The sequence below is a fragment of the Homo sapiens genome, chromosome 7 (assembly GCF_000001405.40).
Source record: "Homo sapiens chromosome 7, GRCh38.p14 Primary Assembly".
Classification (NCBI taxonomy): Eukaryota; Metazoa; Chordata; class Mammalia; order Primates; family Hominidae; genus Homo; species Homo sapiens.
Window position 1 is genome coordinate 42,113,226 of NC_000007.14, and position 17,022 is coordinate 42,130,247.

Genomic DNA, 17,022 nt, shown 5'->3' on the forward strand with positions numbered 1-17,022 from the left:
CATCTCTGGTGAGTAAGAAATACAGAAGTACGGAGCAGTGTGAAGAAGAAGAGGCGAGAACGACCCCCGGACCGACCAAAGCCCGCACACCACCACATCCTGTGCCCAGCACCTACGTCCCGTCGCTGTTGTTGCCAGCATGCCCAAGAGAAAGGCTGAGGGGGATGCTGAAGGAGATGAAGCCAAGGTGAAGGATGAACCACAGAGAAGATCCACAAAGTTGTCTGCTAAACCTGCTCCTCCAAAGCCAGAGCAAGCCTAAAAAGGCCCCTGAGAAGGTACCCAAAGGGAAAAAGGGAAAAGCTGATGCTGGCAAGGAGGGGAATAACCCTACAGAAAATGGAGTTGCCAAAAAAGACCAGGCCCAGAAAGCTGAAGGTGCTGGAGATGCCAAGTGAAGTGTCTGCATTTTTGATAACTGTGTACTTCTGATGACTGTACAGTTTGAAATACTATTTTTTATCAAGTTTTATAAAAATGCAGAATTTTGTTTTACTTTAAGCTATGTTGTTAGCACACAGAACACTTCATTGTTGTTTTTGGAGGACAGGATATATGTCCCTAATAGAATGTCTCTGAAGCTGGACTGATGTGGGGAAAACACCTTTCCCTTTCCCTTCTAGTTCTGAGAGACTTCCTCTTGGCTCCCAGGAGGAGGGGGGACTCCCTGACTTTGATACACATGTCCACCTTGGCACAAAAACCTTGTGGGAGGGAAAAACAAATTTGATTTTATGTCCTCTTCTCCCTTTCCACCTTTCAGCATAGGCTTAACTCCCTTAAAGCCAGACATCTGTTGGGACATGATCCCCAGTCATTGGTTACCAGTGTGTCACACAATCTGGACTTTCCAGTGATGGCAATGAGATGGCACCCCTCAAAAGAGCAGTGGTTCCGTTTCTAGATTGTGGATCTTCAGATAAATTCTGCCATTTTCATTCCACTTCCTGAAAGTCAGGGTCAGCTTGTGAAAAGTTGTTAAACAACATGCTAAATGCGAAATGTCAACCCTCACTCTAAACTTACCCTGTTCAGAGCATCAGATGAAGACTTATTGGGTTTTATCTTGGCTTTCTGATTATTGGTAGTCCATAGAAGAAGGGAGTTTGAAAGTTGTTGTATACTGTTAACGACTGTCTACCCATGTCCTGCCTGAAATACGATGATTGCTTATGGAACATATCTTTTATAAAGCTAGGTACGGTTTGGCTTGGGAAAAAAAAAAAGAAATACAGAAGTGCTTTCTCAATAGCAGGTGTGTGTGAAGGATTGAATTGGTTATTAGGGTAAAGAGGCTTAGGAAAAAGAAATGTGTCCTTCAGTCACTGCTAAGTGACACATCCGCACTGTGCTGTGAAGTTCCAAGAACCCTAAGGTCAACTGGCTCCTTGCCAGTATATACCTGTATTAACTCTTCCAGAAATCTAGTGGTGTAGGTATGTATGTGTGTGCAGGTCGGGGAGAGTTTTTTGTTTGTTTGTTTGTTTGTTTTGTGAGATGGAGTCTTGCCCTGTCACCCAGGCTGGAGTGCAGTGGTGTGATCTCGGCTCACTGCAACCTCCGCCTCCCAGGTTCAAGCGATTCTCCTGCCTCAGCCTCCTGAGTAGTTGGGACTACAGGCATGCACTACCACACTCAGCTAATTTTTGTATTTTTAGTAGAGAGGGGGTTTCACCATGTTAGCCAGGCTGATCTCAAACTCCTGACCTCAGGCAATGTGCCTGCCTCAGCCTCCCAAAATATTGAGCTTACAGGCTTGAGCCACCGCACCGACCAGGAGAGGCATAATTTTAAAAATAACAGAGCATTTGCAATAGTGAAGAAATAAGAAGAGAGAAAAGGGAAAAAAAGGGTAGGAGACAAAAATGTAAACCTTTTTCTTGTGTTGGCCCCAAATAATTTTCCTACTTTTTTTTTTTTTTTTTTTTTTTGAGACGGAGTCTCGCTCTGTCTCCCAGGTTGGAGTGCAGTGGTGTGATCTCAGCTCACTGCAACTTCCATGTCCCAGGTTCAAGCGATTCTCCTGCCTCAGCCTCCTGAGTAGCTGGGACTACAGGCGCCCTGCCACCATGCCCAGCTAGTTTTTGTATTTTTAGTAGAGACAGGGTTTCACCATATTGGCCAGGCTGGTCTGGAACTCCTGACCTTAAGTGACCTGCCCACCTCGGCCTCCCAAAGTGCTGAGATTACAGGTGTACCCACCGTGCCCAGCCCATTTTCCTACATTTTCGGAAACTTCAAATTACCACAGATTTTCAATCTCTGAATGGAAGCCAATATAATTCATCTCTTCTTTTCTACCAAACTCCTGATAGTTCAGGTGACGTGGATGTTACATTAACTCTGTCAGGCCCCCGGGCTGCTATTAAGTGCCCTGTAACACTGAGGTCCTACACCTATTTCCCTACAACTAAGAGTTTTTGTCTCCCAAAGGGCCAAACTTGCACACAGCAGGGACACAGTGGGGCAGTTAGTTGCTTGGGAAAGAGAAACAAAATTTCTTTTGAGAGTGAGGTTATTTTAAGGTGGTCACAGGTATGCAGAGTCAGTTTTATGCTCTCCGTGATTTCTTATCCCCTCTGAGAGTGGGAAGGAGTTGGCATAGAGATTTTTATTTTCATAGCACATTATATAATTTGGGGTTGGTGGCAAGTGTTAACAACTGTCATACTACCCACGGCTATATTAAAAATAAGACCAAAATAGAGATTGTTGTGGGTTGTCTTGGGTTTTCCCTCAGAAGTCCTGAGGAAGAAAGTACCTCAAATGAACAGGGAGGGCATCATCAGCTCACAGAGCAGCCTGGGCAACACCAAGACCAGACAGAAACCCTTTCCAAGCAACAGAGTGGAAACACCAACAAACCCTTTTCATGAGACACACATTTCTGCAAGACCTATCTTGACAGAAGCCACCAGGTCCCAAACATGTCACATGTATGAAAAATTCAAATTCAAACGTGGAGAAGAGCAGTTTTATGGGACCCGCCTTCAGGTACAGCTCCCTATTTAAGTGCTGAGTTAAAAACCTCTGCGTTTTGAACAGCAGCACACGAGCTCATGTGATTTAATTTATGTGATGAAATGTGGATGCTGGGTAAAATTCACCCAGGAAACAGAGGGGAGAAGCAGGATGCTCAACCCATAAACAACACTTATCCTCAGAAATTTTGGCCCTTTGAAACTGGGTGAATAAACTAAATAAACTGAAAAGCTTCATTAATACCCAGAGGATCAGGTCCAAGTTTTAGATCTGCAAAAAGAAAAAAAAAAAAAAAAGAATTAAAGCTTTCCATCCCCTTTCTAAATACGTGGGGATCTGTTTTCAACCCATTCGTAAAATCTATCCATTTGTTTTTATTATATGAACAACTTAAAAATTGCCAGACAGACCACCTCTGATGCACGAGGGCACAGCATTGGTTACCGGAGATGGCCAAAGCATTCTCCAAATCAAATTAGGTTTGCCTCAGTTACAGAGGTCATCTTACTGTATGTTTTCAGGAATATTAACACAAAATGTATCAAAACACTAATAGGATCCATAAACACAGACAGCTAAAGCTCCATCACTTTTAACACGCCATAATTTAATAAGAGGTCTCATAAGAGACCTCTTATTATGGTCTCATAAGACCGAGGGTGTCCTTTTCAAGTTCCTTCCCTCTCAGCTACTTACGGCAATTCTCAGAAGTCTGCAAAGTTATCTACATCCTCCCTTTACCAATGTTCAGCCATACGCAGATATCACTTGTGAACTAAACAGTGTCTTTCCTCCAGGGACAGGGCCAAGGCTACAACATGCTGGTGCACACTTTAAATTGTAGGTAAACGCTCAACCTATGGCAGAATTCCCTATTTTGTGGGAGTCCCAGTTCTTTAAACTAATTCTAACTTTTGGTGTTGGCTTTCAAAAATTACTATGTCAAGGAATATGCGATGTTGAGATTTCACTCAATAGATTGGTCAGAAGGACAGGAGGGAGGAGAGAGAAGAAAAGATAGTGGTAGGGGAAGGAGAAGGAAATGATACCAGCAAAAAGGCCAGGGCTCTGGATTCCTGGATGCCTCTTTGAGCAACGTTTTCATTCGCACCACCTAGGTGCACCCTTATATGCCTCTGGTCCTTTATTTACAAGGCTGTCACCTGTCTGACAGGTAGTTTTACATGTTTTACATGTTGCAGTACCAAGGACCAGACGCCTTTTAGGAACAGTTTTGAGAATGACAAGTCACTTAGACACTCATTGCCATGACTCAGTTTTAAGAAAAATGACCAATGACTGAGCATTCCTAATGGGGAAGCTTTCCCATCTGATGGGTGCGATTCTGACCCAATGAAATGGGTGCAGGAGAGAAGACATTGAGAACTCCAGCTTTAAAAGAGGCCAGGACTCGTTAGTGAAAATAGTTTTGACTTGTTAGATGCCTGCTTTTGCTGGGGGAATGGAACAAATGATGTTTCAGGCAGGAGCTGCCAGCACATGAACCTCCTTCTAGCAAAGTGTATGATCTCAGAGGCCATACATGTTCATTTACAGTAGAGTTTAGATTAAAGTGATAAATGTGGATCTGGTGTACATTTAAATGCCATTTTGAAAGAAAACCCAGCTCGAGGCTTTCCCACCCTACATATCACTGCAGATTCCGTGGTCAGGGAGATGCTGGCCCTTGAGTAGCTGCCGCTGTCTCCATGGAAGGACGGCACCATAGTTAATTAAATGTCCACTCTGACGGTAAAATTCATTATCTAACACTGCAAGTGAAGTTATCAGAATATACTTGATGGGCCAAAGCTGTCAGAAGGCCCTCTCAAACACTTAACAGGAAAAGATAAGATGAATTTGCCTTTCATACAGGGATTTTTTTCTTTTTAATGGAGGCTCAAAATACCAACTTCGGGTTTGCAAATATTCTCATCCCCTTTAAAGCTTAATCATCTTAATGAAATACACTCAAGGGCTTTTTCACCTTTCCATTATTTTTTATTTTCTTAATGTGCATGTTAAGTCCCAAATAGTTTCCACGGATGGCAGCGTTGAGTTCAGAGTCCTAACTATGGACTAAGCAGTTTTTATTTCCTTTCTCACTGAATTCTCCACAGCAGATCTGAAAAGACAATATACTTATCCTCAATTTTCAGGTGATGGATACAAAGTTTAGAGAAAATGAAGAGCTAGAAAGTGGCAGTGCCATGACTCAAAATGGGCCTTCTAATCACACCAAGTCTAACACACAGCAACTAGAGACCCCTAGCCCCCAATTTTCAGTGTTTTTCTTAGATTGGTTTTTGATTCACGTGGGGAATCTCAGAGTTTCTGTGGGGCCCAGGGGGCCATAGTTTCTTTTCGCTCTTAAGCATCCCAAACCATCCTTGCCAGCACCCTTGATTGTTCTGCTTCACTAAGAATGTGAAGCTGTCAAATTCAGGCCAGAATGACGTGATCATCTTGACACCTTGACACTACACCACTTCCGCTGCAGCCAGGGGGCCCAGTGGCCTTCTGATTTCCAAGTTTAAGTTCTCACCAGCTTAACTTGCTCATTTGACACAGTAAGCATAGAATGACAGGCTGTCACCACTGTTTAAGAGCTCCTAACGTACATGGGATAGCTATGGGTCAAAACCCAACAAATCACTGTTTTGAAAGAGAAACGAACTCTTTCAAACTCTTTCAAACTCAGCATCGTGAAACCCAAAACTATGAAGGGAAGAACACCATTTGGGTGACCCTTTCACAGTTCAGCAAGGCTCCTTCAACCACTCTCCATATAAGCCTCCTGCAACCTTGGAGGCAGCCAGGGCTGTAGGAGGCAGGCAGGGCTGATAGGAGCTTCCCTCACCTACAAGTGACAAGGCTCAGCCAAGGGAAGGAGGGACAGGACAGAGCACACCAACAAGGGAAGCCGAGGCCTCTGACTCCCGCACTGTATTCTTTCATTCCGACTTCTATTAGAAAAAGGGATCTTGTCAATGAATGTGTCCTGTGTCTACATTTCTATGTAAGCAAAACAAGAAAACCAAAAAGAACATGTGAGGAAAGCAATTTTCAGTGTTTTTCCTCGACCGGTTTTTGAATCACGTGGGGAATCTCAGAGTTTCTGTGGGGCCCAGGGGCTATAGTTTCTGTTTGCTCTTAACCATCCCAAACCATCCTTGCCAGCACCCTTGATTGTTCTGCTACACTAAGAATGTGAAACTGTCAAATTCAGGCCAGAATGACGTGACCAAGACCAGCTGTAATGTACACTCTCTTCTTAAAGTAAGTGCTGGGGTTTGGGAGGTTCTTACCCTAGGCATTAAGGCTTGGGAGTACCTGCTTGTTATATCAGCTGGGTCCCTTCCCTGCATTAAAGAGCAAAGGTACCTCAAACAGAACAGATAGAGAACTGACACAAAGTAAAATATTCCCAGATTTCCTATAGAAAAATACAGTCACTTTTCTAAAAATGCCACAAGGGTGACGGTTTGGCAGGAGCATCTCTTAACAATCAGCAGAAATCTACTAAATCCCTCTTAAAAGGTCCATTCTAAACAACATTCCACAGTGACACAGGGGCCTGACTTTGATTTCTGAATAATTTGACTAGAAGCAAGGAAAGTCACAACAACATTAAGTGCAATAACTTTCTACCCCCTGTTTGGTTCCCAGTGTGAAATTTGCTGAAATAAAACTTGACAGCCCAAAACTCCCGGGGATGTGTTCCAGATGAATCGAGTCATCCACACAAACTCACAGACACACGCACACACGCCCTGGACCCTCGCACTTATAGAGGGAGTTGTCTCCATCTGTATTTGACAACCCGGTGCCATGGGTCTCAAGGCTGAGGGCTGCTTATGGATGCAACTTTAAATTTAATTTGCGGGGGATGATAATTGTGTGGAGTGGTAGGAAAATGCTGGCGACATTTTGACTTTAGCAGCCCCACTGCCCTGATTAAAAAATATCAGCTTTCCATATGCAAGACATTTCTAAGGTGGACACCTTACAAATTGTTAAGGTGCAATTTGTGCACAGTTAGTTCTTTGTTTAATCGAGAAATCTGCCCGAACTCTGATTGGGCTGATTTCTCTAAGGCCGGGAGTGAAGGTTATTTCCTTATGCCTTTTGGGAGCAGCAATCTCTCTAATACGTTTCTGAATTATTCCAGCTTGTGCCGAGGTTGAACAGGAGAACAAAGCCCTGGTTCCACAGCAGAAAGACTAACTGAACTCCCAGCTGGGAAGGTTTAGGCAGAGATTTATAAGTACAAACACTGAAGAAATTTGCAAGTAATTGCATGTATTTGCTTTCCGTTGTGGGATGCAGTAAACCAGTATTTATTAAAATGCATCGGCGAGGTACTGTTTATTACCCCCTCTCCTTGATGTCTTGTAGAGGGGAATAAAGTGCTTGGTTCTTTTCATTTCTTTAAATTAAGGGGGCAAAACAGTATTTCAAAGAATATAAGGAAGAAGCTGAAATTAGACATATACTCTGAATGGCTACTGCCTCTTACTTAACTTGGAATTGGTGCATGAACATGGCTCCAGATATGCTGTTCTGATTTAATCTTGTAAAGCTTAACTTTTTTTCTACATTCATAAGTTTCCATGAATCCAGTATTTGGGGATCAACAATTATCATTTTCTCCCATAGAATTTCTGTTATTATTCTTGGATTGCCGCCTGCAAACCTGAGTGCTAAATAGGCACATGTTCATGGGATATAAAATGACAGGCTCAGAAAGTTACAGCTTAATAAGAGAATGACTTAAACAAACCACCACCAAAAAGAGATATTATGTTCACTGGCTCCTGCATCTAAATTCCTGTGCCATCAGCTACTTTGGGTTTTAATTTGCCAATGACAAAAGGTCAGAAGAAACCAGACAGACGACTCTCTTTCCCTCTTCGACTTGAATCACACCTCCCCACCTGCCTCAGTGTTCCCCTCTTAATGACAGACCCAAATTGTTCTACGTAATACTCCTTAACACAATGGTCTCAAACTTTCGCTGCATCAGCTTTGCCTAAAGAGCTTGTTAACACAGATTGCTGGGTCCCAGCCCAAGAGTTTCTGATTCAGTAAGACAGAGAAGGTGCACAAGAAGTGCCATTTCTAACAAGTTCCCTGGGGATGCAGATGCTGCGTGTCCTGGGACCACATGTTGATAAATGCTGGTCTAGAAAGCAAATAGGCAAAAGTTTGGTGCAGTGAAGGTAAGCGGTACCTACTGCCCCTGCCCCCAAAATAGCAAATAACAGAAACGAAATACCAATGTATGTTATTTTAGTCAACAATTGTTAATTGCAACCTGCTTAAATATATGGCTGACAACATTATCTCCATGTAGAATTCCCAAGCCCCTGCCCTCTCTTCCACATTGGTCTTTGCCTACTTTTCCTTCCATCTGATGTCCCTTAAGGATCTGGATGGGTGCACCAAACTGGGGAGTGACAGCTTCCAGTTTGTATGTCTGCTCTTCTTAGAAATGCAGGATCCTCATGTCCCCACCTCCTCCCCCTCCATCAGGAGTGCACCCACCTAAGCAGTAGGCACCCATTGAATACCAGCTGCTATTGTTTTAAATCAGAATAAAACCAGAGAGCAGTAACAGAAGCTAGTGTGTGCTTCTCTGTCCCTCAGCACAGCAACTCTGGTTATCTTAAGTTCAGCATTGGTAATAAATAAGCCCCAGATCTTAAAATTAAAAGGTACCAAGTAGCCACAACAAGTGGAAGGTTTCTGAGACTGGCAACAGAGATGGCAGCCAATCCCCTCTCCCCTTGGCTTGAGGGCCATTACCTCCCAGGCTTCCACACCTGTAACTTTAAATCAGAGAACATGCAAACAAGTTATCTCCCAATGTCTGTGACATGAAGACAAATGAATTAGAGACCCTAGAGGAATATTAAAATGAAAAATGCTATTTGATAAAAATAAGCCAGACCAGGAAATCAGATAGCATGCTTATATATATTAATATATGTCATATATTATATATAATTTATATTTTATATATATGTATTTTATTGAAAAAGTCCTAGCTTTCACACAGTCTTTCCAGTTATAAAACCCTCACCTCCTAATCACATAAAATCAGATTTTTTATGATTTTTATTAGAGAAGAACCATGAGGTCTGTAGGTATAACCACAAATTGGCCAGAAGTGATATTGTTGGAACAGGAAACTAGACTGTTCTGTGCCTCAGGTATTCAAACTTCAATCACTTAAGAGAGAGAAGAGCTTCATACCAATATGGGCTCTCATGACAAAGTGCATATAGGATGTCAATGTCTGGATCCAGATGCTCGACCCTCATACAATCATCTGAAGCAGGTACTTGGTGTCAGGAAGGAAGCTGAGGGGTTAAGTGACTTACACAAGTCAGCCAGCAAAGGGCTGAGACTAGAATCCTGTCCTTTCTAATTCCAAAATCACATCTGATTTTCCTCCAAGAAACCAAGTCACCAGCACCTATCTTTTCTTTATTAAAAGCATGTGCAAGTCAAGTATATTCTAAAAGATAATCAGCTGGTAAAACTGAATAAGGAAAACCAGCTGTAGTAATCCCCTCTGTACCAAATGCTGAATCAGAAAAGACACCTAGCTTTCTGATAATCAGATTTTCCTAGAGCCTGAACAGGGTGAAAAGTTATTGAATGCAGAATATTTTTACTAGAACACGCAAGAGTGTCTTTTAGACCTTACGATCAAAATGTCCAAAAGGATAAATCTGAATATTAATTACAAAACTTGTACTACTTCAAACTTTTTATTATATTCTACACCTCTACTGTTTTCTTATGGTTATCACAAGTGCTAACAAAATATTAGCATTCATATCGGTAAAATCAATTGGCAAGTCCATTATCGACATTTATTTCAAATGCGTATGTCTGAAGTATGTGTTACTCATCCCTTAAATTAACATCTTCCACTTTGATGGGACAATTGGACAGACCAGGCCAACACTTTTTTCACCAGTAATTAGTAACTCTATTTTCACATTTCCGGAGAGAGAATTACACTCAACCAACATTTCTACATCCTGAATCTGCTAATCTCAGCAATAAGACCTTCCTTTAAAAGACATGCAGTGTCTTGACCAAAGAGTAATGATAGAAAACTAATTCACAAACTTGGTGGTTTTTCTAGCAAATGAGAGCAGTTTCATATTTAGTAAAGTCTATATTTTTGTTGACAGTACACACCAAAATACATACGCATTAAAATGCATACAAGGGTGTATATATTTCTATTTCCTAAAAGGAAATTCAGAGATACAAAAACGTAATTATACAAATTATCCTTACTTCTTGTTGTTAATTCAGTTTAGGCACAACACTTGAGAAATAAATAAAAATTCTCCATAGCATAAAATAACTGGTATTCCATCTTTACTTATTGGGGAAAGTACTAAATTGATGTCATCATAAATATTCAATTTTATTTTTAAGTAATTACCAAAAGTAAAGTGTAATTCAAAGAATGGTCTGATGTGCCACAACTAGCTGTGCAAATGTACAGGATCTTTTTAAGACGGAAAATGTAAGTGCTTACCAACTGGGAACTTGAAGAAATTGAGATTGACATCTGACCTTTAAAAGCAGTGGTTCTCACACTTCATTGTTTAAAAACTTGTTAAAAACACAGAACCTAAGATCCAGTTCTCAGGAATTCTGATTCAGGAGTCTGGCACGAAGCCAAGATGCTACATGGTCACACCAAGATTCGCAAGGTTGGTTCTGTTACTACAGTTTAAAGAGTCACCTTCAGAGGCAAGGCCCCTGATGCCCACCGAGTCATCATTCTGCTTTGTTCGACTCTCCCACCGCAGCTGCCTCTCCCCACTGTCTTGTCTTGCCTTCCATTATTTACTCACTCATGGGTGGAGAGGAGTTACCCTTAAAATAGACCATCTCAAAAGGTGATTTTCCTTTTGATAACTGTCAATCAATGTAAACACACCACAAAACAATCCTTTGCAGAAGTTTAGAAGCCAAACACATGCTTATCTGTAGAATGTCAGGTGGCCTATATGACTATGTCTTTTTCCCTGACTAAACTGACTACAGGAGCTTAGCTTGTTTCTGCTGTTATTTTAAAGATTATTTCAAATTTGTAAAGAGTCTGACCTGCAGAAAATGTGGACGACACTTATTGTGGGACTGTGTACCAGTTATGGTACTCGTTTTAATTCTAAGTGCTCCTCTTCCTACAGAACCAAACCAACACCGGAGAAGCTGAGCAAATGCAGTCAGTTGGATGTGAATTACCTTTTAGTTGCTGACAACAGAAAGTTACCCTGAACCACTGACCAAGGGATGAAAAGCGTCCGTGTACTATTAGTAATTCTCAGAATCATCTCTGTCCCCAACCAAGTATGGAAAGCCAAGTACAGTATCATGGAACCAAATTCAAATGCTGGTCTCAAAGTTCCCGACTTGCTTGCCTTCAAGTGCCACTTGAGAGATTTTAAATGACAGTGAAATGCTTTGTTCAACTAAAAATTCAAAGTGTCGGGACAAAGTTTATTTCTGAGACTCAAGAGATAGTTTTTGCTTTAGTTGTTGCCATTGGTGCTGCTGTGTGTGTGAAAAAAGTCAGAAATAAAATCTGCCACTTTTCTTTTCCTAGATGATGGTATTTAAAATAGCAAGTCTAATAAAATCTAGCGGTTTGATTTGCTCGCTCAAAGAATGTATTTTTAAGATGAAGTGTTCCAGGTAGATGCAAGTTATGCAGATAGATATTTCATAAAGACAATGGGTCAAAAGAACTCAACAATCCCTTCTACAGCCAAGCTACAGCAGATTTTCTTTCAAAAAAGGGACACAGTTGACAGAGAATAGAGTGAGGAAGTGGAAGCTGACAATTTAGTGCTAACGGTATTGCTCGCACAATAGCAAAAACACAACAAGAGTCAGCAAAGGGTGCTGCATGCTTACAGTCCTCACGCTAACAAGTATTTGTAAGTACCAACAACTTGGAGAGGTAAGGGGAAAGAAAAGCCTGCCATGGTGCCTTGTACAGGTGGCGCCAAGGTCCCTGTCTGGGCCCTTGGACAAAACCATCTCATGTAAACCTTAAAGAGGATTAATCCTCAAGGAGCACTGTAATGAGACCTTAAAAGGCTGAACAACAGCAGCAGACCACGGAGGAAGGCAGTCATCTGCTCCCCCAAGTCTTGCTAGCAGAGTTACATCAAAGCAAACGGGCAGCAGATAGCAGGCTTCCACGGCAATCCCTTATCTCGGCTCCAGCGGACACCACTACTGTGATTGTCTTGAACTGCCACCTGTCCCAGGCATCTTTGAAGGCAACGCTAAGCCTCTGATGGATCTGACCTCCTTGAGCTGAGATCCTTTTATGTCTTTCTTCATTTTCTGCCCTGCGACATTCTTCCCCTGCCATGCACACGACATGAAACAAAGGGAGTTCTCACTCCTGACTCACTGTCCCCAGCCATTTGAGAGCAAAGAAAAACAATGTTCAGGATTATACTCTGCCCATAATACAGAGCTGTCCTCAGGAGACAAGCCTCTTATTTTTGAGGGTATAACTATAGACGGCATTTACGTGCAAACTCTGTACAATGGGGTTCGATGGAGCTGGGCGCCAAGATAGGAAAGCTGCATGTCTGAGATAACTCAAAAACACAAGGAATGATCATACAGAACTCGATTAATAAAATCACATATTTTCACAGGAGGAATACAAATATAAATACTGAAATATTAAAACTTACTTACAAAATCACTGCACATTGGGGCTTGAAAAAACAGCAGCACACAAATATCCTTAAACCTGGTTCAACTTAAAAGGAATTTTTTTAAAAAAATGAGAGAGAAAAATATTTAAAACACACATATACTGCAGGTGAGAAAAGTTTGAAACCTGAATGGTAAAACAGTTCCCTCTGAGACCTTTCTAAGAGGCTAGAGGTACTGACTTTTCCAAATCATACCAGGAGAAAGGGTAGTGCCTGTGTTTCTCTGAAAAGTTCTGACATTTGAGGAGAAGGAAAACTGCTGTGATCAAATTCATTCAACACAAGACTTCTCAACATCCACTTATTCTGTCACACAAGTCTGTCTGCACACATTGCTTTAACAACGCTCACCTATATGACTATTTCTCATACTGAGTGAAATTGTAACATGCCTCAGCAAGTGATCTAGAGTGGTATGATTTTAATACTTTGCCTCATTTCATTAAAGATTTCAGCCAGCATACAAGAATTCACAAGGTAGAAAATGCTAACTAAAGAAAAATCTGATCAGAGAACAGTTTAGATGATCAAGACCTAGAGAAAGTTAAGAGAGAATATGCAGGCCGCAATCCAATAGAGTTGGAATAACTGAGCAGCTAATAATCTGAGTTTCCTGGAAACAACAATCTGAGTTTCCTGGTAAGCAATGAGTAAAGGAAACCAAAATCAGCCATATGATATATCCTGCAAGAAGTCACATAACCACACTATCTTATATCATGGTCTTGTGTTTTATCTGCACAGTATTTAAAATTTTCAGAAAAGTATACACCTCACTTGACATAGACCAGCAATTCTATAGCTACCATGACAACATTCTTCTACTCTGGGCTTTGGTCTGGGTTCCAAAACCCACTTATTAGAAGAGGGTCAGCCTAAAGGGCTGGGAAGCTGTGGCCTTCCTGTTTCTGGATTACAGGGCTGTCTCCAGCCCAAAAGAGTGAGAACCCCAGAGAAAAACCCAATGACGAGCGTCAGTCCACAGCCAGCCCCTGAACCATCTACACTTTACACTCCCACACTCGATATGGCCTCCTCAACTCTGGGGCTATTCCAGCTCTTTCAGTTTGGATTTTTTTAGCTTTCAGTTTTTCACCAGCTTTCAACCACACAGTCTTGTTCTCTGAATGACAGCCTATCTTCCCACTTCTGACATGGCTCTTGATTGCAGGCACTCCTTCTGGTAACAAGCCTTTTTAACTTCGGCCAGAGAGGCCCAGCAGTAAGCGGACCTCAGAGCTGATCCCAGGCTTGCAGTAGACAAACTGCCTCATGCTCTTCTATCCAAGCTGGGATAAAGATGTTTTTCTCTGACACCACAGCCCATTACACATTTTTCAGAGATGCATGATTTGAAAAAGAAACACACTGACATGTACTTCATGTGAGGTGGGCAGCATGTATTTGAAGCTCATAAATCTACCCACTTCCCTCTTCTCAATGAGATCTGACTTGCAAAACTGTTTGCAGACTGTGGTGCCTTTAAACAGCACACATGCATCCCCATGATTCACTATGCCCATTTCTTAGACAGGGCCAGTTTCTATGAGGGAATAGCCTATTTCAATACAGTGCCAACTTAAAATATTTAAACTCCAGTAGTGTTTGGGACAGACTGAAAATAACTTTTCCAATTTTAAAGCAACCTAAGTTTTACAGCGTATTTTTATTTCTCCAAGTTCATGATTTTTAAACAATGCAGTAGGCATTAAAATGAACCATGTTAAGAAACAAATGTAGGGCCTGGTGCAGTGGCTGTCGCCTGTAATCCCAGCACTTTGGGAGGCCAAGGCAGCAGATTGCTTGAGCTCAGGGGTTAGAGACCAGCCTGGGCAACATGGCAAAACTCTATCTCTATAAAAAAAATACAAAATTATTAGCCAGGTGTGGTGGCACATGCCTGTGGTCCCAGCTACTCAGGAGGCTGAGGCAGGAGGATTGCTTGAACCCAGGAGGCAGGAGGCGGAAGTTGCAGTGAGCCATGATCGAGCCACCACACTCCAGCCTGGGCGACAGAGCAAGACCCTGACTCAAAAAAAAAAAAAAGAAAAAGAAAAAAGGAAGGAAACAAATTTAAAACAGGGTGCCAATCAAGTATCTTCAAATAGACTTAATATGCAATAAAAAAATAAAATCAAAGAAAATATACATATATAGGAAGATGTTTGGAGAAAAACTTACCTGAGTAGCCAGTCTGTAATAAGGGAGCACTCAATTTAAGACACAGTTTGACAGCATCACCCACTTTAATTGTCTGTTATGGTATTAGCCAGAATTCAATTATTTGATTTAAATTTCTATCAACCTATCATGTATTTCTATTGAATACTACCAGTTGGATATGGTTGTTACTGTTTTTAATCCATTTGGTTAAAAAAAAATAAAAAGTGACATTTTTCTCAGGAAATGAAAGACTAGCTCTTCCAGTAGCAAGAAGTAAGATTTTCAAAAGACTTTTTGGCTTTTGGATCACTGTCTTTGGAAAGCTGCCTCTTTAATCTTTGTAAGTAATTCTATAAAATATGATACATGCCTAGTTTTTAGGTAGAAGTTTAGAATTAAATTCATTTATTTTCAGGCTTCTCAAATTTGTAAAATCATAAGGAGAATAAAATACATCTTAAAAACTAAAAGTAAGAAAGTTATAAAGAAGGATTCAGCAGCATCAGAAGAGATCTTAAATGTGCAGAGGGAAAAACTGTCAGTCAGACAGCCCATGAGCCGTCCTTGGTATGTCAGTATTTTTTTTTTAGGGTGAGAACCAAGACATCAGAGAGGTGATGGTAGGAATGGAAGTCCATGGGTCTTAACAAATTATCTCCCTTAATTCCTGTTATCACCCTGTGCGGCTGCCATTTCCACTCCCATTTTAGAGATGAGGAAGCCAGTCCAGTATCTAAGAACTTGCTCAAGGTCACACTGCCAGAAGGTGGCAGAGGTGGGCCTGGGTCTTAAGTTTAACTGACACTATTGCAGTCTAGCAGAAATGCAACATATTTAATCCATCATTTCCAGTTCAAGATAGCAGGCTGGGCAAACATATTTCTCACCTGTCCCTCCAAAGACTTCTGTGAAATGAAAAACTGGAAGTAAGTTTTGTAGTAATGATAAAATAACAGTACCAAAGAATAAAATTTACCAGGCCCTTACTCTGTGCTAGGCACTTCTAAGAGCTTTATTTATATTAAGTAATTTAATCCTCAAAACGAACCCATGATGTCAGAGCTACTCCCGGCCCCACTGTATATATGAGAAAATGGGGGCTCAGAAAGGCTAAGTAATTTGCCCATAATCACATTGTTAGGAGTGGCAGAATTAGGATTTGAACTGAGGCAGTCTGGGTCTATGGGTGAAACTCTTAACACAGTCAAAGAAATACATAAAATTAAGATAAAAAATTTCAACCCATTTCTGCAAGATGCATAGTGGGTAAGACTGGAATTATAGGTGGACATGGTGCGTAGAGAAGCAGCAGCCTGAAATATTCTTCAAGAGGGCAAAGAAACAGGTGGCAGCTGATTCACCTAAGAAGCCATGGGCTGGGTTGGGCGCGGTGGCTCACGCCTGTAATCCCAGCACTTTGGGAGGCCGAGGCGGGGGGATCACGAGGTCAGGAGTACAAGACCAGCCTGGCCAAGATGGTGAAACCCCGTCTCTACCAAAAATACAAAAAAATTAGCTGGGTGAGGTGGCGGGCGCCTGTAATCTCAGCCACTAGGGAGGCTGAGGCAGAGAACTGCTTGAACCCGGGAGGCGGAGCTTGCATTGAGCCGAGATCGCGCCACTGCACTCCAGCCTGGGCGACAGACCGAGACTCCATCTAAAAAACAAAAAAGAAAAAAGCCCTGGGCTGGGCAGATCTTTTACCGGACACACCCGTGACAGTCAGATGGCCTGTCTCCTGCCCACAGCACATGAGCACAGGTAGCTGGCATTTCTCCAGATAAAAATTTTATGACTCTTTTTCAAAAAACAGAATGAACTTTCCTGGGAAAGTGAAGGCTTCAGCGTGGATTTTGAAGCCCTGTTTCCACCCAGGTCTATCACACAAATGCACTCACCACAAGAGTCACACCAGCTCTAACTTCTAGTGTTGGTCCCAGCAAGTTGGTGTGACACCCTTATTGGTACCCAAGCCATACCGGTTCTTATAGCTCCCCAGAATCAAGCCCTCTTCGTTCTGGCATGTGGAGAAGCTCCACCCTATTTCCCTAAAGGAAATCCTGCCAACTGATACACGTGGTCAGGATGTTCCATCCAT

At 41.8% G+C, this 17,022-nt stretch overlaps 1 protein-coding gene and 1 pseudogene across 8 annotated transcripts in view; one reads left to right on the top strand and one right to left on the bottom strand.

The window, feature by feature from the left end:
* The window catches only part of GLI3 (GLI family zinc finger 3), a 303,320-nt gene that overhangs the window by 152,277 nt on the left and 134,021 nt on the right, over nucleotides 1–17,022 (bottom strand). The gene's annotated exons all lie outside the window — the stretch shown is intronic.
* HMGN2P30 (high mobility group nucleosomal binding domain 2 pseudogene 30) lies at nucleotides 31–1,214 on the top strand (annotated as a pseudogene).